The following is a 22915-nucleotide window of genomic DNA, read 5'->3' as shown; positions in this document are numbered from 1 at the left end:
CAGTGGTCCCCAACTAGGGCCCCTGCCACCCTCATTCCTAAGGGAGGCTGGAGACTTCTTCCATGGCCGAAAATCCACATCTAAGTCCCCGGCACTAGCAAAAAGGCCCTGTCATGGGGGCTCCCTGCCCCAGTTGAGATTGGAGGAACATGGAAGAAGCTAAAATAACTAAATAACTCAGTAGCATCACACTACCTGCTCTGGAGAAAAAAAAATTTAATATTATTATTTTTTGTTTTTTGAGATGGAGTTCTGCTCTGCTGCACAGGCTGGAGTGCAGTGGCGCAATCTTGGCTCACGGCAACCTCTGCCTCCTGGGTTCAAGTGATTCTCCCGCCTCAGCCTCCCGAGTAGTTGGGATTACAGGCTCATGCCACCACGCCCAGCTAATTTTTGTACTTTTAGTAGAGATGGAGTTTTGCCATGTTGGCTAGTCTGGCCTTGAACTCCTGACCTCAAGTGATCCACCCACCTCAAAGCCACCCAAAGTTTGGGGATTACAAGCGTGAGCCACTGTGTCCGGCCTGGAGAAAGGACTTTAAATGACGCAATGTAGGAAGAGCAAGGTTGTGGAGATCTGCTGCCCTGGCTGAGGTAGCTCATGCAATCAGTCTCTCTGAGCCACAGTCTCTTGATCTGTGAAATCGGAAGAAAATAATACCTCCTTCACAAGACAAGTGGCAGGTCAGATGTGAGAATGCACAGGCAGGCCCTCGGCAACTGGAAAAGCTCTATACAGATCTGAAAAGGAGGAGGAGAAAAAAGAGGAGGGGCTTCCATGGCTGGACAGGGCATCTTTCTTTTTCTTTTTCTTTTTTTTTTTTTTTTTTTTTTTGAGGTGGAGTCTTGCTCTGTTGCCAAGGTTGGAGTGCAGCAGCACGATCTCCGCTCACTGCAAGCTCTGCCTCCCGGATTCACGCCATTCTCCTGCCTCAGCCTCCCGAGTAGCTGGGAATACAGGCGCCCGCCACTACGCCCAGCTAACTTTTTTGCATTTTTAGTACAGAGTGGATTTCACCTGGTTAGCCAAGATGGTCTTGATCTACTGACCTCGTGATCCGCCCGCCTCGGCCTCCCAAAGTGCTGGGATTACAGGCATGAGCCACCGCGCCCAGCCTGATAGAGCATCTTTCGGCGTGATGTGTTCTGAGTTCCAAAGCTGAGGAAGAGACTCAAATCTTCAAGAGCTCTTCTAACTTTGAGATTCTCTGATGGTTTCAGGGCTATGGGAGGAAGAGCTTGTGGTCCGTGTCTGCTCCCGGGATTTCTGTTTCTTGGTTTGTGTCTCTGCTGCAAGTCCAAGGAGCTGGGGCAATACCTTGAGTCTGGGTTCTTCGTCCCCAGGGACCTGGGGGAGCCCCAGCAATGCTCAGGGAAAGGGGAGAGCAAAGTGTGGGGTTGGTTCTCTCTAGTGGTCAGTGTTGGAACTGCATCCAGCTGACTCAGGCTGACCCAGGAGTCCTCAGCAGAAGTGGAATTCAGGACTGAATCGTGCTCACAACCCCCACAATCTATTGGCTGTGCTTGGCCCCTTTTCCCAACACACACATTCTGTCTGGTGGGTGGAGGTTAAACATGCGGGGAGGAGGAAAGGGATAGGATAGAGAATGGGATGTGGTCGGTAGGGGGTCTCAAGGACTGGCTATCCTGACATCCTTCGCCGCGTGCAGGTTGGCCACCATGGCCTGCGGCCAGAGGGCACCCACGTGACCCTTAAAGAGAGGACAAGTTGGGTGGTATCTCTGGCTGACACTCTGTGCACAACCCTCACAACACTGGTGACGGTGGGAAGGGAAAGATGACAAGCCAGGGGGCATGATCCCAGCATGTGTGGGAGGAGCTTCTAAATTATCCATTAGCACAAGCCCGTCAGTGGCCCCATGCATAAATGTACACAGAAACAGGTGGGGTCAACAGTGGGAGAGAAGGGGCCAGGGTATAAAAAGGGCCCACAAGAGACCAGCTCAAGGATCCCAAGGCCCAACTCCCCGAACCACTCAGGGTCCTGTGGACAGCTCACCTAGCTGCAATGGCTACAGGTAAGCGCCCCTAAAATCCCTTTGGGCACAATGTGTCCTGAGGGGAGAGGCAGCGACCTGTAGATGGGACGGGGGCACTAACCCTCAGGTTTGGGGCTTCTGAATGTGAGTATCGCCATGTAAGCCCAGTATTTGGCCAATCTCAGAAAGCTCCTGGTCCCTGGAGGGATGGAGAGAGAAAAACAAACAGCTCCTGGAGCAGGGAGAGTGCTGGCCTCTTGCTCTCCGGCTCCCTCTGTTGCCCTCTGGTTTCTCCCCAGGCTCCCGGACGTCCCTGCTCCTGGCTTTTGGCCTGCTCTGCCTGCCCTGGCTTCAAGAGGGCAGTGCCTTCCCAACCATTCCCTTATCCAGGCTTTTTGACAACGCTATGCTCCGCGCCCATCGTCTGCACCAGCTGGCCTTTGACACCTACCAGGAGTTTGTAAGCTCTTGGGGAATGGGTGCGCATCAGGGGTGGCAGGAAGGGGTGACTTTCCCCCGCTGGGAAATAAGAGGAGGAGACTAAGGAGCTCAGGGTTTTTCCCGAAGCGAAAATGCAGGCAGATGAGCACACGCTGAGTGAGGTTCCCAGAAAAGTAACAATGGGAGCTGGTCTCCAGCGTAGACCTTGGTGGGCGGTCCTTCTCCTAGGAAGAAGCCTATATCCCAAAGGAACAGAAGTATTCATTCCTGCAGAACCCCCAGACCTCCCTCTGTTTCTCAGAGTCTATTCCGACACCCTCCAACAGGGAGGAAACACAACAGAAATCCGTGAGTGGATGCCTTCTCCCCAGGCGGGGATGGGGGAGACCTGTAGTCAGAGCCCCCGGGCAGCACAGCCAATGCCCGTCCTTCCCCTGCAGAACCTAGAGCTGCTCCGCATCTCCCTGCTGCTCATCCAGTCGTGGCTGGAGCCCGTGCAGTTCCTCAGGAGTGTCTTCGCCAACAGCCTGGTGTACGGCGCCTCTGACAGCAACGTCTATGACCTCCTAAAGGACCTAGAGGAAGGCATCCAAACGCTGATGGGGGTGAGGGTGGCGCCAGGGGTCCCCAATCCTGGAGCCCCACTGACTTTGAGAGCTGTGTTAGAGAAACACTGCTGCCCTCTTTTTAGCAGTCAGGCCCTGACCCAAGAGAACTCACCTTATTCTTCATTTCCCCTCGTGAATCCTCCAGGCCTTTCTCTACACCCTGAAGGGGAGGGAGGAAAATGAATGAATGAGAAAGGGAGGGAACAGTACCCAAGCGCTTGGCCTCTCCTTCTCTTCCTTCACTTTGCAGAGGCTGGAAGATGGCAGCCCCCGGACTGGGCAGATCTTCAAGCAGACCTACAGCAAGTTCGACACAAACTCACACAACGATGACGCACTACTCAAGAACTACGGGCTGCTCTACTGCTTCAGGAAGGACATGGACAAGGTCGAGACATTCCTGCGCATCGTGCAGTGCCGCTCTGTGGAGGGCAGCTGTGGCTTCTAGCTGCCCGGGTGGCATCCCTGTGACCCCTCCCCAGTGCCTCTCCTGGCCCTGGAAGTTGCCACTCCAGTGCCCACCAGCCTTGTCCTAATAAAATTAAGTTGCATCATTTTGTCTGACTAGGTGTCCTTCTATAATATTATGGGGTGGAGGGGGGTGGTATGGAGCAAGGGGCAAGTTGGGAAGACAACCTGTAGGGCCTGCGGGGTCTATTGGGAACCAAGCTGGAGTGCAGTGGCACAATCTTGGCTCACTGCAATCTCCGCCTCCTGGGTTCAAGCGATTCTCCTGCCTCAGCCTCCCGAGTTGTTGGGATTCCAGGCATGCATGACCAGGCTCAGCTAATTTTTGTTTTTTTGGTAGAGACGGGGTTTCACCATATTGGCCAGGCTGGTCTCCAACTCCTAATCTCAGGTGATCTACCCACCTTGGCCTCCCAAATTGCTGGGATTACAGGCGTGAACCACTGCTCCCTTCCCTGTCCTTCTGATTTTAAAATAACTATACCAGCAGGAGGACGTCCAGACACAGCATAGGCTACCTGGCCATGCCCAACCGGTGGGACATTTGAGTTGCTTGCTTGGCACTGTCCTCTCATGCGTTGGGTCCACTCAGTAGATGCCTGTTGAATTCCTGGGCCTAGGGCTGTGCCAGCTGCCTCGTCCCGTCACCTTCTGGCTTCTTCTCTCCCTCCATATCTTAGCTGTTTTCCTCATGAGAATGTTCCAAATTCGAAATTTCTATTTAACCATTATATATTTACTTGTTTGCTATTATCTCTGCCCCCAGTAGATTGTTAGCTCCAGAAGAGAAAGGATCATGTCTTTTGCTTATCTAGATATGCCCATCTGCCTGGTACAATCTCTGGCACATGTTACAGGCAACAACTACTTGTGGAATTGGTGAATGCATGAATAGAAGAATGAGTGAATGAATGAATAGACAAAAGGCAGAAATCCAGCCTCAAAGAGCTTACAGTCTGGTAAGAGGAATAAAATGTCTGCAAATAGCCACAGGACAGGTCAAAGGAAGGAGGGGCTATTTCCAGCTGAGGGCACCCCATCAGGAAAGCACCCCAGACTTCCTACAACTACTAGACACATCTCGATGCTTTTCACTTCTCTATCAATGGATCGTCTCCCTGGAGAATAATCCCCAAAGTGAAATTACTTAGCACGTCCAGTTAGGTAGATCCTTGTGTACTTCTTGGTTGTTCAGAGATCATCAACCAGTGCAAACAATCCCCCCATCAATACACAGCAGTGCCTGCCCCTCTCCCCCCGAGGTCTTCCGAGGCCCTTCCTCCGTGCCTGAACCCCCTGGACATATCATATGGCAAACTGAAGTGTCCAACGAGATATAGGAAGTGAAACACGATGTACACTGAAACGTGCAATACAAATATGCAGCATGAAGTGCCTCGGTTCACTAACCCGAGCTACGCTGGGTGCTTCTTTTCTACCACTTTCCTTAATGCCTATGGACACCTCATTCTGTGGCTGAAGTTCCTTGTGTTCAATTCCCCCCATCTTCATTGAACATCCTGTGTAGGGACCTCACCCCTGTCCTGCTAGCTTTGCACTGAGGCAAGTTCTGTCCATGCCTAGTAGTGCCACCACCTTTACTAGATGAGACTTCTAAAGAGCTTGGCATGGAAGGAAAGCCCGGGGGCCTTGGAAGCCATCACTTAGAAACTGGGAGAGCTCCAGGCAAGCCACCTCATCTCTTTGAGCCTCAGTATCCTCACTCACATCCCTATGGTCAGTAGAGTGCCAAGCACATGGTGGACACGCAGAAGTATTGATCATCTTCCTCACCTCCCCTAGGAGAGCCCTTGGGAATCCCCATATAATATTCTCTGAAGACCTCAATCCAATGAGCCAAGTAATTGACTCGGTAGCAAACTCATGGAAAGGACATTAGAAGCCAAAAGGAGGTAGAGTATGTCCCAGTACAATAACCAGCCTCTGATCTCAAGGAAGAAAGAACAGAGCTGCAGGTGAGAAGTGTGCGCCTCAAATCACCAAAGTGAGAGTGGAAGGAGCACCCACCAGTCCCTTGGAGGCGATCCCTAAGACCGGTGAGAATGGCTTCGAAAAATGTGATCGTCCTCAACCCCACAGTCTTGAACCTAACAGGAGATCTTGAAGCCTGAAAGACACCACTTTAGGATCAACAGCAGATCTGTGACTTTCCACAGCAGGCACACAGAACCCTAGAGTTAGTCGAGGTTGGACATAGGAAGGGCTTCCAAACACACAGAGAAATTCATGGATCCTAAATTATAAAGGCAGGTTCTTTAAAAGAACCAAGATGATTGTGAGATTACGTAGAGTTTTTTTTTGTTTTTCTTGATACAGAGTCTCGCTCTGTTGCCCAGGCAGGAGTGCAGTGGCATGATCTCAGCTCGCTACAACCTCCACCTCCCGGGTTCAAGCAATTCCCTGCCACAGCCACCTGAGTAGCTGGGATTACAGGCACCTACCACCATGCGCAGCTAATTTTTCTATTTCTAGTAGAGACGGGATTTCACCATCTTGACCAGGTTGGTCTTGAACTCCTGACCTCATGATCCACCCACCCTGGCCTCCCAAAGTGGTGGGATTACAGGCATGAGCCACTGCGCCCGGCCTATTCTGAGCCTTTTGAAGCTGACGCCAGAGGCGCGAAGCCCAGCCTCTCCCCACTGGCCATGTGGAGGCTCTCCCTGAGTAGTCTCTCAGCCTGCAGGAGCCAAGGATCTGGACCCAAGTGATGCCCCAACAGTGGGCAACTTCCCAGTACTGTTAGGAGAATCCCAAGTCTAATGCAAAGTTGATTTTTTACCAGCAATGAATGATAGACATGGTCTCCATTGCTCAAGGCTCTGGGAAGATCTAGACTAGAGAAAACGATCATCGACTTCTACCCACACCTGAGGGCCTCAGTTCTTCCCTCTGGTCCATGGCTGCCATGGTAACCCCTTATAAAGGTGTTTCCCCAGGGGTCCCTAGAGTCCTCTGAGTCACCATAATTCTGGGGTCAACAGAAGTGGAGAGGTGAGAGGAGACACTCCCCTGCCCTGGCTGGTCCCACGTGTTCCTGGCAGTAACCTGTCTGGGGAGCCTCGCCACCCCTGTGCCCACCTGCGGAGTTATGCAGTGGTCCCCAACTAGGGCCCCTGCCACCCTCATTCCTAAAGGAGGCTGGAGACTTCTTCCATGGCCGAAAATCCACATCTAAGTCCCCAGCACTGGCTAAAAGGCCCTGTCATGGGGGCTCCCTGTCCCAGCTGACATTGGAGGAAGGATGGTGGGGGAGGCAGGGACCTTCTTCTACTTGGAGCTCAGGGACCCTCTTCCATTCGCACCTGGCTCCTCCTCTTTGCTGGTGCTGGAAGGAGCAGGGGAAAGTGGTGACTCCACCCTCCCTTGGCCCCATATTTTTCGGAGCTGGTATCATCGATGACACCCCTCTTGGATCCTCACACAGGCCTGCCTGGAGAACAGCTCACAGCACAGTGCCCTCCCAGCAGGTGATGAGTCTGGGGTGCTGGTCCGGTAATGCTTCAGGAGTGACGGCAGAAAAAGGAGCTCTGTCTTCCCCTCTGAAAGTAGGGAGATGGCAGGGCCCCAGCATTCACATCCTAGGCCACAGGGGTGTGGGTGTTCAATGTTGGTTGCCAACACCACAGCCAATCACTTCTAGAAGCATTTGCTTGTTTGCTTGCTTGTGTTTCTACAGTGTCAAGTGCTACATGCTCTTAAACTCAGGGTGGGGGAAGATTTCACCACTGGAGAGGGTGGTCTTTCCTGCTCTTATCCCTGGGGGCATCTGATGCTTGTGACTTCCAGATGGTATGGAAATAGCCCCAACCCTGGGCACCAGGAGACAGGAGGCTCAGTCCTGGCCTTCTCCGCCTCAGCCTTGTCCTGCTGTGAGGTTTCCACAAGGCACCCCATGCCACTGGGCCATTCTCACCTGGGAATTGAGAAAGAACAATCTGCCCCTTATGGAAAGACAAAATGAGGCAAAGGGCCCCTGTGTTGGGGGCAGGATCCCTGCACTCAGAGGGATTTAGAAGCTGAAATAACTGGGTTGGGGGCGGTGACTCACGCCAGTAATCTAAGTACTTAGAGAGGCCAGGGAGGGTGGATCCCCTAAAGTCAAGAGTTCGAGACCAGCCTGGCCAACATAGTGAAACCCCGTCTCTACTAAAAAAGTACAAAATTTAGCCTGGCGTGGTGGCGGGCGACTGTAATCCCAGCTACTAAACAGGGTGAGGCAGGAGAATCACTTGAACCCAGGAGGTGGAGGTTGCTGTGAGGCAACATCATGCCACTGCACTCCAGCCTGGGTGACAGAATGAGACTCCAACTGAAAAAAAAGAAAGAAAGAGAGAGAGAGAGACAAAGAGGAAGGAAAGAAAGAAAGAAAGAAAGAGAAAGAAAGAAAGAAAGAAAAGGAAAGGAGGAAGGAAAGAAAAAGAAAAAGAAAGAAAGAGAAAGAAAGAAAGAAAGAAAGAAAGAAAGAAAGAAAGAAAGAAAGAAAGAAAGAAAGAAAGAAAGAAAGAAAGAAACTAAAATAACTAAATAACTGAGTAACACCACACTACCTGTTCTGGAGAAAGGACTTTTTTCTTGTTGTTGTGGTTGTTGAAATGGAGTCACACTCTGTCGCCCAGGCTGGAGTGCAGTGGCGCGATCTTGGCTCACAGCAACCTCTGCCTCCTGGATTCAAGTGATTCTACCACCTCACCCTCCGGAGTAACTGGGATTACAGGCTTGCGCCACCACACACAGCTACTTTTGTATTTCTAGAGAGTTGGTGTTTTGCCATGTTGGCTAGTCTGGCCTTGAACTCCTGACCTCAAGTGATCCACCCACCTCAGCCTCCCAAAGTGCTGGGATTACAGGCATGAGCCACCGTGCCCGGCCTGGAGAAAGGACTTTAAATGACACAAAGTGGGAAGAGCAAGGCTGTGGAGATCTGCTGCCCTGGCTGAGGTAGCTCATGCAATCAGTCTCTCTGAGCCTCAGTCTCCTGATATGTGAAATGGGATGATAATCATACCTCCTACACAAGACAAGTGGCAGGTCAGACGTGAGAATGCACAGGCAGGCCCTTCGCAACTGGATAGGCTCTATACAGGTGTGGAAAGGAGGAGGAGAAAAAAGAGGACGGGCTTCCATGGATGGATAGGGCATCTTTCGGCGTGATGTGTTTTGAGTTCCAAAGCTGGGGAAGAGATTCAAATCTTCAAGAGCTCTTCCAACTTTGAGATTCTCTGATGGTTTCAGGGCTATGGGAGGAAGCGCTTGTGGTCCGTGTCTGTTCCCGGGATTTCGGTTTCTTGGTTTGTGTCTCTGCTGCAGGTCCAGGGAGCTGGGGCAATACCTTGAGAGTCTGAGTTCTTCGTCCCCAGTGACCTGGGGGAGCCCCCCACCCAACCCCCTCCCTCCGCCCCGCCCCAAGGCTCAGGGAAAGGGGAGATCAAAGTGTGGGGTTGGTTCCCTCTAGTGGTCAGTGTTAGCACTGCATCCAGCTGACTCAGGTGGGCCCAGGAGTCGTCAGCAGAAGTGGAATTCAGGACTGAATCATGCTCACAACCCCCACAATCTATTGGCTGTGCTTGGCCCCTTTTCCCAACACACACATTCTGTCTGGTGGGTGGAGGTTAAACATGCGGGGAGGAGGAAAGGAATAGGATAGAGAGTGGGATGTGGTCGATAGGGGTCTCAAGGACTGGCTATCCTGACATCCTTCTCCGCATTCAGGTTGGCCACCATGGCCTGCTGCCAGAGGGCACCCACCTGAACCTTAAAGAGAGGACAAGTTGGGTGGTGTCTGTGGTTGACACTCTGTGCACAACCCTCACAACGCTGGTGACGGTGGGAAGGGAAAGATGACAAGCCAGGGGACATGATGCCAGCATGTGTGGGAGGAGCTTCCAAATTATCCATTAGCACAAGCCCGTCAGTGGCCCCATGCATAAATGTGCACAGAAACAGGTGGGGGCAACAGCGAGAGAGAAGGGGCCAGGGTATAAAAAGGGCCCACAAGAGACCAGCTCCAGCATCCCAAGGCCCGACTCCCCGCACCACTCAGGGTCCTGTGGACAGCTCACCTAGCGGCAATGGCTGCAGGTAAGCGCCCCTAAAATCCCTTTGGGCACAACGTGTCCTGAGGGGAGAGGCGGCGCCCTGCAGATGGGACGGGGGCACTAACCTCAGGTTTGGGGCTTCTGAATGTGAATATCGCCATCTAAGGCCAGATATTTGGCCAATCTCTGAATGTTCCTGGTCCCTGGAGGGATGGAGAGAGAGAAAAAGAAAACAGCTCCTGGAACAGGGAGAGTGCTGGCCTCTTGCTCTGCGGCTCCCTTCTTGCCCTCCGGTTTCTCCCCAGGCTCCCGGACGTCCCTGCTCCTGGCTTTTGCCCTGCTCTGCCTGCCCTGGCTTCAAGAGGCTGGTGCCGTCCAAACCGTTCCCTTATCCAGGCTTTTTAAAGAGGCTATGCTCCAAGCCCATCGCGCACACCAGCTGGCCATTGACACCTACCAGGAGTTTATAAGCTCTTGGGGAATGGGTGCGGGTCAGGGGTGGCAAGAAGGGGTGACTTTCCCCCACTGGGGAAGTAATGGGAGGAGACTAAGGAGCTCAGGGTTGTTTTCTGAAGCGAAAATGCAGGCAGATGAGCATAGGCTGAGCCAGGTTCCCAGAAGAGTAACAGTGGGAGCTGGTCTCCAGCATAGAAAGCAGTGGTCCTTCTTGGTGGGGGGTCCTTCCCCTAGGAAGAAGCCTATATCACAAAGGAACAGAAGTATTCATTCCTGCATGACTCCCAGACCTCCTTCTGCTTCTCAGACTCTATTCCGACATCCTCCAACATGGAGGAAACGCAGCAGAAATCCGTGAGTGGATGCTGTCTCCCCTAGGCGGGGATGGGGGAGACCTGTGGTCAGAGCCCCCGGGCAGCACAGCCACTGCCGGTCCTTCCCCTGCAGAACTTAGAGCTGCTCCACATCTCCCTGCTGCTCATCGAGTCGCGGCTGGAGCCCGTGCGGTTCCTCAGGAGTACCTTCACCAACAACCTGGTGTATGACACCTCGGACAGCGATGACTATCACCTCCTAAAGGACCTAGAGGAAGGCATCCAAATGCTGATGGGGGTGAGGGTGGCACCAGGGGTCCCCAATCCTGGAAGCCCACTGGCTTCGAGGGCTGGGGGAGAGAAACACTGCTGCCCTCTTTTCAGCAGTCAGGCGCTGACCCAAGAGAACTCACCTTATTCTTCATTTCCCCTCGTGAATCCTCCAGGCCTTTCTCTACACCCTGAAGGGGAAGGAGGAAAATGGATAAATGAGAGAGGGAGGGAACAGTGCCCAAGCGCTTGGTCTCTCCTTCTCTTGCTTCACTTTGCAGAGGCTGGAAGACGGCAGCCACCTGACTGGGCAGACCCTCAAGCAGACCTACAGCAAGTTTGACACAAACTCGCACAACCATGACGCACTGCTCAAGAACTACGGGCTGCTCCACTGCTTCAGGAAGGACATGGACAAGGTCGAGACATTCCTGCGCATGGTGCAGTGCCGCTCTGTGGAGGGCAGCTGTGGCTTCTAGGGGCCCGCGTGGCATCCTGTGACCCCTCCCCAGTGCCTCTCCTGGCCCTGAAGGTGCCACTCCAGTGCCCACCAGCCTTGTCTTAATAAAATTAAGTTGTATTGTTTCATCTGACTAGGTGTCCTTCTATAATATTATGGGGTGGAAGGTGGTGGTATGGAGCAAGGGGTAGGTGGGAAGACGACCTGGAGGGCCTTCAGGGTCTATTGGGAACTAGGCCACTGAAATATAAGAGGTTTGGCTGTTCCTGGGCCAGAAAAAGGCTGACATATCACTGCTGTCTATTACTCACTAAGGCCATTCCACCAGCTCAGTGGTCCCAGCTTGCTGGTCATAGCTCATTGGTCATCCCAGAGATGACTTGAAGGCATTTCTTCCTCCCCCACCATCACCAGCAACACCAAACCTAGCCCCCCAGGAGCGGGAAGAAATGAAAACAAGATGGGCTATTAAGTGCAGAGGCAAAAACTCCCCAACAGGTGAGGAAACAATGGCATAGAATTACTTGTGTTCGGAAGAATTTTAAGATGAATATTCCTTAAGCCCAACTACTCTCGGGAAATGAGAACAATGCAAAAATGAGTTTGAGACATATGGAACCAGAGCATTTGGAATCTGAATTAGGGCAAGGGAAGTGGAAGAGAGATTTTATTTGCGGGTTGTAAATGCAGTGCCAACAGGTGCCAGGTAGATAACAACGTAAGCAATGAGGGCTGGATGGCAGGGGATAAATCCCAGATGACACTCGCTTCCCTTCAGGGGATGCAACACAGAAGGGTGGGAACCAGCACAATCTGCAGAACTCAAGCCCCTGCTGAGGTGGGACCCAGCCCGCCTGTCACCATCAGGACTGCAGGGACACGGCTTCCAGACCTTCTGATTCTTTGAGACAGCCAGGACATCCAGACTGTTACGGGAAATCTAATATTTAAATAATGGCAACACATACTGAAAATCTTTTAAGGGCAAAAATTAACCCAAACACACATGGTCTCCAAGCTGTCTGTGAGCAATTTTGTTCTAAGAGATGTTGATTGGGGTAATTTGGTGTAAGGGAAAGAATCAGAAAGATTTGGGCTGTATGCAATTTAGTGTCGCTGAATAAATTACTTGACCAAGCTGAGATAATAATATATTGCTTTACAAGGATTATGTGAGGATTAAATGCAATGGTATTTTTGACATATTATAGTACTGAAGAAATTGTAGTTATTTCTGCATTGAATTTTTGGATGTTTTATAATAATAATAAACATCTGAGATGTTTATTATTTCCAAATAAGCACTAAAGAGCGGTGGTTAGTTAAGAGTTTACTCTCCCAAGCACCTTGGCTAAGTGACTGGTGACCTAAATCTATACTAAGATGCTCACAGGAACTCTAGTATCCAAAAATGATTTCATGAAGTCAGGAATTATTTTACAATGCAAATAATCAACCCCCTAATTAATCTTCTTTAGAAGTTCTGATTCTTATGTGCCATAATGAATTTTTTTGATAACGAGACCCACTTGTGTTCATTTTTGGCTATTTTGCAGTTAATAACTCAGTCCTTGGGAAGTGGTTCAAAGCTGAACTAATCAGAACTCTAGAGCTGCTGCATTTCTCAGCTCAGAAGACATTCCTGCATCTTACGTTGTTCTTCTACTATTGGAATTTAAAATTACGGCATTTTGGAGTTAGAAGGGCCTCATAAGTCAGTCTAGTTTCTTCTACTTTGGGAATCTTATCCTACAGCGTCCATTACAGTCAGTATTCCAATTACAAGTGTGTAGCACTAGAACCAAGGGAATCCCTTTCACAAGGCTCTTCATTCTAATAAACCACTCTCATTGCAGAAAACTATTTCTTGCACAAAGCTGGAATCAATATTCCTGCAATGTCCTTCATTTGGCCTTAAAATTATTTAGAAATCTCAGTCTTTAGAAGTCGATGGAATGAGCACAATTATAATTATCTCTCGGCTTGCGTGTTTTAAAAGGAAATGTGAGCCATCTTAATAAGTATTTGTTGAATGCACGTGACAGTGGAATGACAATGTCCAGCGCCTACTTGGGTGGCTAAGAGGGTTCTAAAGTGGGGTGGTCATAACATATAACTGAACTGCAGGGGGAGCCACACGCCAGAGACTGTCCACCCAGCTCCCCTCGGGTATAGGAGAATCCACTCAACCACTGCTGGTTGAGAATTAGAAAGATACTACCTGACTTTGCACATTTTAGAATATAAAAAGACCTTAAAGACCATCTGCTTTAAACTCTTTGATTTACCTACTGTTAGTCTACCTTTCAGCTCATCAACTTGGTGTGGACGGCAATTTCCGCTGCAAATTTGAGATGCCTAGGGTGTTTTCTAAACGATGCATTCGTGAGCCCTCACTCCCTGAGATTCTGATATAATTAGCCTGGAATGTGGTCCAGGCAAGAGTAGTTTGAAAACTTTCCCAGGTGATTCTATCATGTAAACAAGGTTGAGAACCACTGTGTTAGGGACCGCAAAGATGAGACCCATGTGTTCACAGCTGTTGTATTGGTGGAACAGGGAAAACGGAGAAAAAGGAGACGAGAGGCCTGGGCCAGTTGTGGTGCCACCTGCTCCTAATTCCAACCAGTCATCTAAAAAGTGTTTATCGTGAGCCAGTCACAGAAAGACAAATACTCTCTGATTCCAGTTAGATGAGGTACTCAGAGCAGTCAAATTCGTAGAGACAAAAAGTAGGATGGTGGCTGCCAGTGGCTGTGGGGAGGGATGGAATAGGGAGCCATTTAACGAGCACAGGGTTTCAGCTGTGCAAGATGAAAAGGGTTCTGGAGATGGTTGGTGGTGAGGGTTGCATGACGATGTCAATGTACTTGACGTGACCGAACTGTACACGTAAAATGGTTAAGATGGAAATGTTTATATCTTCTCACAACTAAAAATTGTTAATAGTTTCTTTTGTTTTTGTTTTTGTTTTTGAGACAGAGGCTGGAGTGCAGTGGTGGGATCTTGGCTCACTGCAACCTCCGCCTCCTCCCGGGTTCAAGTGATTCTCATGCCTCAGCCTCCTGAGTAGCTGGGATTATAAGTGTGCACCACCACACAGGGCAGATTTTTGTATTTTTGGTAAAGACAGGGTTTCGCCATGTTGGCCAGGCTGGTCTCAAACTCCTGGCCTCAGGTGATCCACCCTCCTTGGCCTCCCAAAGTGATAGGATTACAGGCGGGAGCCACCAGGCCTGGCCCTTAATGGTATTTTCTAATGAAAACTCTTCCTGAAGATAAGATTATCGAGACTCGCACAGGGAAGAGTTCAGCAGGCAGAGCTCCAGTCATCCTTGACCCCTGGCATAATGTTTTACTGACTCTGTCATTTTTTTGAATTTACCCTAACCTAAAATGACCACTTCTGAATATCTTCCATGAGCATTGTTGAAATACACATGGTTGGTTTTGTCCCTTTATACACAGTTGAGAGCAGAACTGACCCCTTCCTTTTTCTTCTGAATTGTAGGGTCTGGGCTTCTCAGCCAAGACAAGCTGACACTTTGCCTGGATGCTTCTTTAATTCAGAAGGCCCTGGAGTGCTGAGGCACACAATGAGTACCTCTGGGATTAGGGTCACCAACTCGTCCTGGTTTGCAGGAGACTTTCTCAATGTCAACACTGAAAGTCCCACGTTCCTTCCAGGAATCCCTCAGCTCAATGCAAACTCAGCTCACAGGACTGGTCACCCTATTAGTAGTCCTAAATCTTAGGGCACCAAACTGGGGGGAAAGTAGGGGAAGGAGCAAGAAAAAGACTAGAAAAACCGGAAAGCTGTGCACAGTGTATATGACCTTTGATGGCCCTCATGGTTATCATGGATTTCTGATTCTTGCTTTGAGTTTACTGTGATTATAATGATGTGCTTAATTACCACTAGAATTATCAGTGTAATAATAAAAACCAACAAATGTGAACACATGTCTCCAGCACCATGCTAGTTTATTACAAGTATTATGTCATTTCTTTCTAACTATAATTCTCTAAGGTAAATACTATTATTAATCCTATGGTAAGAAGTCCCACTAACGATGTAACTTATGCTTTCTCAGGTCTAGAGAGAAAGACACCAGAATGTCACCCTGACCATCCTTGAGAGCATAAATGGCCAGGCACTGTGGCTCACGCCAGTAATCTCAGCACTTTGGAGGGCTGAGGCGGGAGGAGGTCACAAGTTCGAGATAAGCCTGGCCAACATGGTGGCACCCCGTCTCTTACTAAAAAATACAAAAATTAGCCAGGTGTGGTGGTGCACACCTGTATTCCCAGCTACGAAGGCATGAGAATCGCTTGAGCCCGGGAGGCAGTGTTGGGCTGGGCCCATCAAGCCACTGCACTCCAGCTGGGTGGCTGAGGAAGATTCTCTCTCAAAAATAATAAGAAAGAAGATAAAATTTTGGAGTATTAAAGGCCACTCTTCCTCTGGAGATAATCAAGGTAGCTGCAATTTAAGTATGAGCTGGTTGCTTTAATGTTCAGAAAGAATATGATCAAAACCATTTAGAGGGTGGGGCCTCCTCCTATAGACAATGAAGGCAACTACCCTTAGAAGCTCTATTATACTGGAAAAGAGATATGAGATCCTTCTTGCTTTAAGAATCAATGAAGCCGGGCGTGGTGACTCACTCCTGTAATCCCAGCACTTTGGGAGGCCGAGGTGGGCAGATCACCTGAGGTCAGGAGTTTGAGACCAGCCTGGCCAACATGACGAAATCCTGTTTCTACTAATAACACAAAAATTAGCCAGGTGTGGTGGTGCACACCTGTAATCCCAGCTACTCCAGAGGCTGAGGTAGGAAAATTGCTTGAAGCCAGGAGGCAGAAGTTGCAGTGAGCCGAGGTCGTGCCACTGCATTCCAGCCTGGGAGACAGAGCGAGACTCCGTCTCCAAAAAAAAAAAAAGAATCAATGAGAAAGGCCTGCCTGATCTCTGGTTGTGTGGATCCTTCGGGAAGGAAAGTGAACAGAGGTTCCAAGTCTACAAGGGAAAAAGCCCAGCCTACTCTGAAGAGCTTTGCGGGACGGCTCATCCAAACTACTGAGCTCTAAGAACTGGAAAGCTGGAAACCCCAGCAAGAGGACACCTGCAGAGCTGGACCAGGCCCCGAAGAAGCAGATCATCCTCCCTCAGAGATCTACAGCAGGTGGGAACCCAGATCTGCAGACCCGCTTGGTTTGAGGGTACTGTGTGGGACCATCTGTCAACACTGACACCCTGTAGCAGTGAGAAGCAAAGGCAGCAGCCGGCTGAGCCTCCAGGCTCGCCCTGCTGGAACTAGAAAGTCCAAGTGGCCCCCTTCTTCCTCCCTTTTTGGTTTTGTTTGCTTTTGTTTTTGTTTTGTTCAAGATGGGGTCTCGCTTTGTTGCCCAGGCTGGAATGCAATGGCACGATCTCGGATCACTGCAACTTCTGCCTCCCACAGTCAAGCGATTCTCCTGCCTCAGCCTCCCCAGTAGCTGGGATTACAGGTGCACACCACCATGCCTGGCTCATTTTCCCCTTCCTTGTTGGATTCGCTGTGCTTCAAGGCACTGAGGCCATGAGGCAGGGTTTGCAGATACAGGATATCTACAGCCCTGATGCGACTGATCCTGACACCAAAATGGCTGTGGATCCCTGCATGGTGTGGCTGTATACTCCTGTCTCTTAAACCTGCTTCTTAACTTACTTCCCCAAATGCTCAATTCAGGGAAGGTGGATGATTTATATTAGACTCACATGATGAAGGAGCAGTAGCTCCACCTAGTGGAAACATTGAGGTTGAAAAGGTCATGTTCGGGGATGATGCTATTTTATAAAGTCAAGATATTTCGTGTCCCTCCAGGAAGCCTTCCTTGATTCGAGTTATGCTTTCTCTTAACAATCTGTTTTCCCAGTCATAGGAGTTCATGCACAAATGTAATCTCCTACTTGTTTGTCTTGCTTTCCTAATAAATTTGTGGAAGCCAGGAACAATGTTTTGTTCACCACTGTATCCCCACTGCCTTGTATGTGGTGAAACCAAAGGGTTACTTTTACACTTAATCTATAGCACCAGACTCAGGGGAGGTCTGGGAAGAATGGGAAAACGTTTTCCCTCTGCTGTCTGATGCCATGGTTTTTTCTAGCTGGTATCTGCAATTTGGAAAGCTATGGACCTCTCTCTATCTGGAAGTCTGAACTTTAGCTTTTCTTTTTGCTTGTGTTTCCTTTGTTTTGCTTTTGAGACAGGGTCTGGCTATGTCACCCAGGCTGGAGTGCAGTGCATGATCTCAACTCGCTGCAACCCTCCACCTCCCGCGCCCAAGTGATCCTCCCACCTCAGACTCTCAAGTAGCTGGGACTACAGGCACGTGCCACTATACCTGGCTAAGTTTTGTGTTTTTTGTAGAAATGGGGTTTGCCATGTTGCCCAGGCTATTCGCAAACTCTGGGGCTCAAGTGATTCGCCCGCCTCAGCCTCCCAAAGTGCTGGGATTACACGCTGAGCCACCGCCCCGGCCTGAATTTCAGTTTTGAAAGCAGTTTACATAGGCTGCCACCCTGAGCTAATGCACCCCCTGCCCCGGGCTGGTTGTTTATGCTATCAACACGGTATTTTTTCCTTAGAAATTGTACTTAAAGTTATAAAATGCAGCCGGGAGCGGTGGCTCATACCTGTAATCCCAGCACTTTAGAAGGCCGAAGTGGGTGGATCACGAGATCAGGACTTCAAGACCAGCCTGGCCAAGATGGTGAAACCCTGTCTCTACTAAAAATACAAAAAATTAGCTGGGCATGGTGATGGGCACCTGTAATCCCAGCTACTTGGGAGGCTGAGGCAGAGAAATCCTTGAACCCAGGAGGTAGAGGTGGAAGTGAGCCAAAATCACGCCATTGCACTCCAGCCTGGGCAATAGAGCGAGACTGCATCTGAAAAAAAAAAAAAGTGATAAAATGCAACCATTTGACATAACAAGAGCTTTCAGCAATGACACAGAAGGGAAGGGAACTGCATTTGGACATCATAAAACCACTTTTATTTTTACCATAGCAACATTCCAGTGAACATTTCTTGACTGACTTGGGAGAAAAGATCTGGTTTTGTGATTCCTCACGCCTTCTCCGAGGGTGAATATACTCTTTCCGAAGGACAGGGAAGGAGGCTGAACCATAAAATCATATGAACATTTTCACAAGAGGATTCCTCTTGAAGCTTCAAGGAAATTGTTTACAGTCAGAAAAAAATATGCACTTCTTGATGAAAACAGAGAGTAAACATTGCAACTCTAACCTAGACACCTATATGGGTAAAAAAAAGAAAACTGGCAAATGCGAACTCACAGTTGATCACTCTATGAAAAGGAATTCAGAGATGTTTGGAGCTCTTAACCTAAGAGGCCAATTTCATGGAAGAACTCTACCTTCTACTTCAGAGACAGAACACTGGGCTAGATACGATGCTTGTCTGGCCCGAAGTGGAATTTCTTACCATCTGTATACTCCCCCAAGACCCACAACAGATGGTTACTGAGTTGCAGCTTGCCACTGATCCTTAATGATGTCAACAAGCTCAGCTCTGGGAGCTGGCACTCCAGAAGCCCAGGTCAGGGGAGCAAGGGAAAGTGGAGATGGGAACAGAGCTCTGATTCCTGGCCCCATATTTGATACTTACTCCCTTCAAAGTCCTGTCCATGGACTACAAATTTAGCTCCCAGTTAGTAATCAAAAACCCATGAAATATGAGTTGTATTTCTAAGATATGCCTGACTGTAGTATGATGTTTAAGAGAAAAGGGCAGTGAGAACCATGAAGAAACGGCAAGATCTTTTCTTTTTTTTTTTGGATCTAAGAGTGGACTGATGAAGCACCTGGCAAGGAGCAAGAGGCCTTCTTACAAATCAAACATTGAGACTGAGATTCCTAATGACTAGGGTGAGCTCTAAAGAGAAAGGTGGCTGGGTGCAGTGGCTCACACCTGTAATCCCAGCATTTTGGGGGGCCAAGGTGGGCGGATCACTTGAGGTCAGGAGTTTGAGAACAGCCTAGCCAACATGGTGAAACCCCATCTCTACGAAAAATACAAAAATTAGACAGGCATGGTGGTATGCACCTGTAATCTCAGCTACTGGGGAGGCTGAGGCAGGAGAATCACCTGAACCCAGGAGGCTGAAGTTGCAGTGAGCCGAGATCGCATCATTGCACTCCAGCCTAGGCGACAACAGTGAGACTCCATCTCAAAAAAAAAAAGAGAGAGAGAGAGAATGGTGAGATTGTGGACATATTGGACACACAGGACATGGGGCATGGGGGCCTGAAACACCGTTTTACAGGACAGATGTACACAAATAGGAATGCAGCCTGCCATTGTGTTTCTTCCTTTCTCCTCTATCCCTTCTCCCATCCCTGGGAAACCACAGTAGCAGAACTCTCATTCAATCAAATAGCTGTCAATTATATGAGTTGCACTTTTCTCTTCCTGAACAGCAAACTGGCTTTCCTCCTCTTTGTCCTCCTCTTTCTGCCTGTAGAGCAATTTCTTCCTGTCTACTTTGCAGGGCCGATAGCTCAAATACAGTGCTATGGTGATGACACCCACTCCAAGGGCAACGGTAATAATGACAAAGAGGGTAGAGCTGATTCCTTCATCCAGTCCTGCCCAAGCACAGAAGATAGAGTTAGGAAAGTCTGAGAGTACAAAGATCACCCACCCCAGCCCACCAGGCCCACTTCTGAGTCTCATTCTTCCCAACCTAGTAGAATCTTTCTTATTTTCATGCTTGGATAAGAATCCCAAACCCCTGAGGGGTTTCCATCCTGGGCCTGGCAGCAGGGCAGCAAAGGTTACCTTGAACAATGACAGCAATGTCTTTGCTGACAGAGCCCAGCTGGTTAGTGGCTGTGCAGCAGTAGGTTCCAGTGTGGTTCTAGGTTGCCTTCTGTGGCACTTCAAGGTCAAAGACCACCCCATTCCAGGTACACACCAAGGCTGGAGCTGGGTTTCCCTTTGGGACGCAGGCGAGCGTGTGTTCCATCCCTTCCAGCCAGGTCTGTTTGGCAGAGCAACTGGATTCCTCTAACCATGGCTTGTCTGCAAAAACAGTTTCCCAAAGAGCTGAGTTCAGTGCACCACACTCCCTCCCTACCTTCACCCCCTGCTCCCTCTCCTCCCCTCACCCAAATGCTGTCCCCTTCACCCAACAGCTTTCCTTCCCAAGGGAGCACTAGCAGCTCCCTGCTTTGAGCCAACTCTTCTTTCCCACTTTCCGTATGGGCAGGGAGTCCCAGATGAAACCTAGGGTGTTCTTATGGATTTGGACTAAAATATAATGCTGCTCTGTCCATGGTGGCCCTGGGGCCCCTGCTTCCCATGTTTGTTTCTCGGTGGGTAAGGAGCTAGGTAACAGTGAACTCAGAGATGAGGATTTTTCTACTTTTCTTTTTGGTTTTTTCGTTGTTTTGTTTGTTTCTTTCTTTGTTTGTTTGCTTGTTTTTGAGACAAAGTCAGTCTCACTTCTTCGCCCTGGCTGGAGTGCAGTAGTGTGATCTCGGCTCATGACAACCTCTGCCTCCCGGGTTCAAGCAATTCTCGTGCCTCAGCCGCTCCAGTAACTAGGATTATCGGCAAATGCCACCACCCCCGCTAATTTTTCTATTTTTAGTAGAGATCAGTTTCACCATGTTGGCCACGCTGGTCTCAAACTCCTGACTTCAGGTGATCCACATGTCTCAGCCTCCCAAAGTGTTGGGATTACAGGCATGAGCCACCACGCCGGCCTATCCTGAGCCTTTTGAAGCTGACGCCAGAGGTGCAAAGCGCAGCCTCTCCCCACTGGCCACATAGAGGCTCTTGTTGGGTAGTCTCTCAGCCTGCAGCAGCCAGGGATCTGGCCTCAAGTGATGCCCCAACAGTGAGCGACTTCCCAGTACTGTCAGGGGAATCCCAAGTCTAATTCAAAGTTGATTTTTTACCAGCAATGAATGATAGACATGGTCTCCATTGCTCAAGGCTCTGGGAAGATCTAGACTAGAGAAAATGATCATTGACTTCTACCCACACCTGTGGGCCTCAGTTCTTCCCTCTGGTCCATGGTTGGCATGGTAACCCCTTACAAAGGTGTTTCCCCAGGGGTTCCTAGAGTCCTCTGAGTCACCATAATTCTGCGGTCAACAGAAATGGAGAGGTGAGAGGAGACACTCCCCTGCCCTGGCAGGTCCCACATGTTCCTGGCAGTAACCTGCATGGGGAGCCTCGCCACCCGTGTGCCCACCTGCGGAGTTATGTAGTGGTCCCCAACTAGGGCCCCTGCCACCCTCTTTCCTAAGGGAGGCTGCAGACTTCTTCCATGGCCAAAAATCCACATCTAAGTCCCCAGCACTGGCTAAAAGACCCTGTCATGGGGGCTCCCTGTCCCAGCTGACATTGGAGGAAGGATGGTGGGGGAGGCAGGGACCCTCTTCTACTTGGAGCTCAGGGACCCTCTTCCATTCCCACCTGGCTCCTCCTCTTTGCTGGTGCTGGAAGGAGCAGGGGAAAGTGGTGACTCCACCCTCCCTTGACCCCATATTTCTCAGAGCTGGTATCATCGATGACACCCCTCTTGGATCCTCCTACAGGCCTGCCTGGAGAACAGCTCACAGCACAGTGCCCTCCCAGCAGATGATGAGTCTGGGGTGCTAGTCCAGTAATGCTTCAGGAATGACGGCAGAAAAAGGAGCTCTGTTTTCTGCTCTGAAAGTGGGGAGATGGCAGGGCCCCAGCATTCACATCCTAGGCCACAGGGGTGTGGGTGTTCAATGTTGGTTGCCAACACCACTGCCAACCACTTCTGGAAGCGTTTGCCTGTTTGTTTGCTTGTGTTTCTACAGAGTCAAGTGCTAGATGCTCTTAAACTCGGGGGGAAGATTTCACCACTAGAGAGGGTGCTCTTTCCTGCTGCCATCTCTGGGGGCATCTGATGCTTGTGACCTCCAGATTATATTGAAATAGCCCCAACTCTGGGCACCAGGAGACAGGAGGCTCAGTCCTGGCCTTCTCTGCCTTCACCTTTTCCTGCTGTGAGGTTTCCACAAGGCACCCCATGCCACTGGGCCATTCTCACCTGAGAATTGAGAAAGAACAATCTGCCCCTTATGGAAAGACAAAATCAGGCAAAGGGCCCCTTGTGTTGGGGGCAGGATCCCTGCACTCAGAGGGATATAGAAGCTGAAATAACTGGGTTGGGAGCGGTGGCTCATGCCAGTAATCTCAGTACTTTGGGAGGCCAGGGAGGGTGGATCACCTAAAGTCAAGAGCTCGAGACCAGCCTGGCCAACATAGTGAAACCCCGTCTCTATTTAAAAAGTACAAAACTTAGCCCGGCATAGTGGCGGGCGCCTGTAATCCCAGCTACTAGGGAGGCTGAGGCGGGAGAATCACTGGAACCCAGGAGGTGGAGGTTGCTGTGAGGCAACATCATGCCACTGCACTCCAGCCTCAGAGACAGAATGAGACTCCATCAAAAACAAGAAAGAAAGAAAGACAAAGAGAGAAAGAAAGAAAGAAAGAAAGAAAGAGAGAGAGAGAGAGAGAGAGAGAGAGAGAAAGAAAGAAAGAAAGAAAGAAAGAAAGAAAGAAAGAAAGAAAGAAAGAAAGAAAGAAGGAAAGAAAGAAAGGAAACTAAAATAACTAAATAACTGAGTAGCACCACACCACCTGCTCTGGAGAAAGGACTTTTGTTGTTGTTGTTGTTGTTGTTGTCGTTGTTGTGGTTGTTGAAATGGAGTCTCACTCTGGCGCCCAGGCTGGAGTGCCATGGCCCAATCTTGGCTCACGGCAACCTCTGAGTCCTGGGTTCA

General features: G+C 49.8%; 2 protein-coding genes and 1 long non-coding RNA gene across 13 annotated transcripts, besides 10 other annotated features; 2 read left to right on the top strand and 1 right to left on the bottom strand.

The window, feature by feature from the left end:
* Nucleotides 1–1491: part of a biological region, named in NCBI's record as "IGHD type 1A-2 recombination region", that runs on past the window's edge. NCBI's record gives its function as "recombination_partner: LOC108004536".
* Nucleotides 1–3613: part of a locus control region, noted in NCBI's record as "fragment (approximate range) that functions as an LCR in transgenic assays", that runs on past the window's edge. NCBI's record gives the evidence for it as "EXISTENCE:transgenic organism evidence [ECO:0001131][PMID:8524268]".
* Nucleotides 1463–1491: a non allelic homologous recombination region, noted in NCBI's record as "sub-region a', recombines with sub-region a within the IGHD type 1A-1 recombination region". NCBI's record gives the evidence for it as "EXISTENCE:nucleotide sequencing assay evidence [ECO:0000219][PMID:2840669]".
* Nucleotides 1480–1973: a promoter, noted in NCBI's record as "494 bp EcoRI/BamHI GH1 promoter fragment". NCBI's record gives the evidence for it as "EXISTENCE:reporter gene assay evidence [ECO:0000049][PMID:9724759]".
* Nucleotides 1844–1857: a protein binding site, noted in NCBI's record as "GH-2 Pit-1-binding site at GH1 promoter". NCBI's record gives the evidence for it as "EXISTENCE:protein binding evidence [ECO:0000024][PMID:16914737]".
* Nucleotides 1880–1893: a protein binding site, noted in NCBI's record as "GH-1 Pit-1-binding site at GH1 promoter". NCBI's record gives the evidence for it as "EXISTENCE:protein binding evidence [ECO:0000024][PMID:16914737]".
* GH1 (growth hormone 1) lies at nt 1967–3603 on the top strand. Of its 3 annotated transcripts, none has more exons than NM_022559.4 (5): nt 1967–2039; nt 2300–2460; nt 2715–2789; nt 2882–3046; nt 3300–3603. In NM_022559.4, exons 1-5 carry the CDS (start codon nt 2030–2032, stop codon nt 3495–3497), a joined length of 609 nt encoding a protein of 202 aa, NP_072053.1. In that variant the 5' UTR covers nt 1967–2029; the 3' UTR covers nt 3498–3603. The 3 variants fall into 3 exon arrangements, with proteins under 3 accessions (NP_072053.1, NP_000506.2, NP_072054.1); NM_000515.5 differs by having other exon boundaries at nt 2670–2789; NM_022560.4 differs by lacking the exon at nt 2715–2789.
* LOC112268204 (uncharacterized) lies at nt 2880–8886 on the bottom strand. The gene is made up of 3 exons (XR_002958148.2): nt 8547–8886; nt 3162–3209; nt 2880–3016 (listed from the first exon to the last, which is right to left on the bottom strand). It is a non-coding gene; the product is annotated as an uncharacterized LOC112268204 (long non-coding RNA).
* Nucleotides 4336–4779: a non allelic homologous recombination region, noted in NCBI's record as "sub-region c, recombines with sub-region c' within the IGHD type 1A-2 recombination region". NCBI's record gives the evidence for it as "EXISTENCE:nucleotide sequencing assay evidence [ECO:0000219][PMID:1980158]" and "EXISTENCE:restriction fragment detection evidence [ECO:0001124][PMID:1980158]".
* Nucleotides 4336–9072: a biological region, named in NCBI's record as "IGHD type 1A-1 recombination region". NCBI's record gives its function as "recombination_partner: LOC105980078".
* Nucleotides 5227–5823: a non allelic homologous recombination region, noted in NCBI's record as "sub-region b, recombines with sub-region b' within the IGHD type 1A-2 recombination region". NCBI's record gives the evidence for it as "EXISTENCE:nucleotide sequencing assay evidence [ECO:0000219][PMID:1980158]" and "EXISTENCE:restriction fragment detection evidence [ECO:0001124][PMID:1980158]".
* Nucleotides 9044–9072: a non allelic homologous recombination region, noted in NCBI's record as "sub-region a, recombines with sub-region a' within the IGHD type 1A-2 recombination region". NCBI's record gives the evidence for it as "EXISTENCE:nucleotide sequencing assay evidence [ECO:0000219][PMID:2840669]".
* On the top strand, nt 9548–11198 carry CSHL1 (chorionic somatomammotropin hormone like 1). 9 transcript variants are annotated; one of them, NM_001321069.2, is made up of 5 exons: nt 9548–9619; nt 9882–9940; nt 10267–10386; nt 10480–10644; nt 10898–11198. In NM_001321069.2, exons 1-5 carry the CDS (start codon nt 9610–9612, stop codon nt 11093–11095), a joined length of 552 nt encoding a protein of 183 aa, NP_001307998.1. In that variant the 5' UTR covers nt 9548–9609; the 3' UTR covers nt 11096–11198. The 9 variants fall into 9 exon arrangements, with proteins under 9 accessions (NP_001307998.1, NP_001307997.1, NP_072103.1 ...); NM_001321068.2 differs by having other exon boundaries at nt 9882–9944; nt 10340–10386; NM_022581.3 differs by having other exon boundaries at nt 9882–10061; nt 10340–10386.

Source organism: Homo sapiens, chromosome 17 (genome assembly GCF_000001405.40).
Source record: "Homo sapiens chromosome 17, GRCh38.p14 Primary Assembly".
Classification (NCBI taxonomy): Eukaryota; Metazoa; Chordata; class Mammalia; order Primates; family Hominidae; genus Homo; species Homo sapiens.
This window is presented reverse-complemented; position numbering and strand designations above follow the sequence as displayed.

Coding starts and splice junctions, on each gene's coding strand:
- GH1 (NM_000515.5), top strand. Junction 2,790..2,881: donor AGGAAACACAACAGAAATCC/GTGAGTGGATGC, acceptor CTTCCCCTGCAG/AACCTAGAGCTGCTCCGCAT. Junction 3,047..3,299: donor GCATCCAAACGCTGATGGGG/GTGAGGGTGGCG, acceptor TTCACTTTGCAG/AGGCTGGAAGATGGCAGCCC.
- CSHL1 (XM_011524344.2), top strand. Junction 10,062..10,270: donor TATAAGCTCTTGGGGAATGG/GTGCGGGTCAGG, acceptor TCCCCTAGGAAG/AAGCCTATATCACAAAGGAA. Junction 10,387..10,479: donor AGGAAACGCAGCAGAAATCC/GTGAGTGGATGC, acceptor CTTCCCCTGCAG/AACTTAGAGCTGCTCCACAT.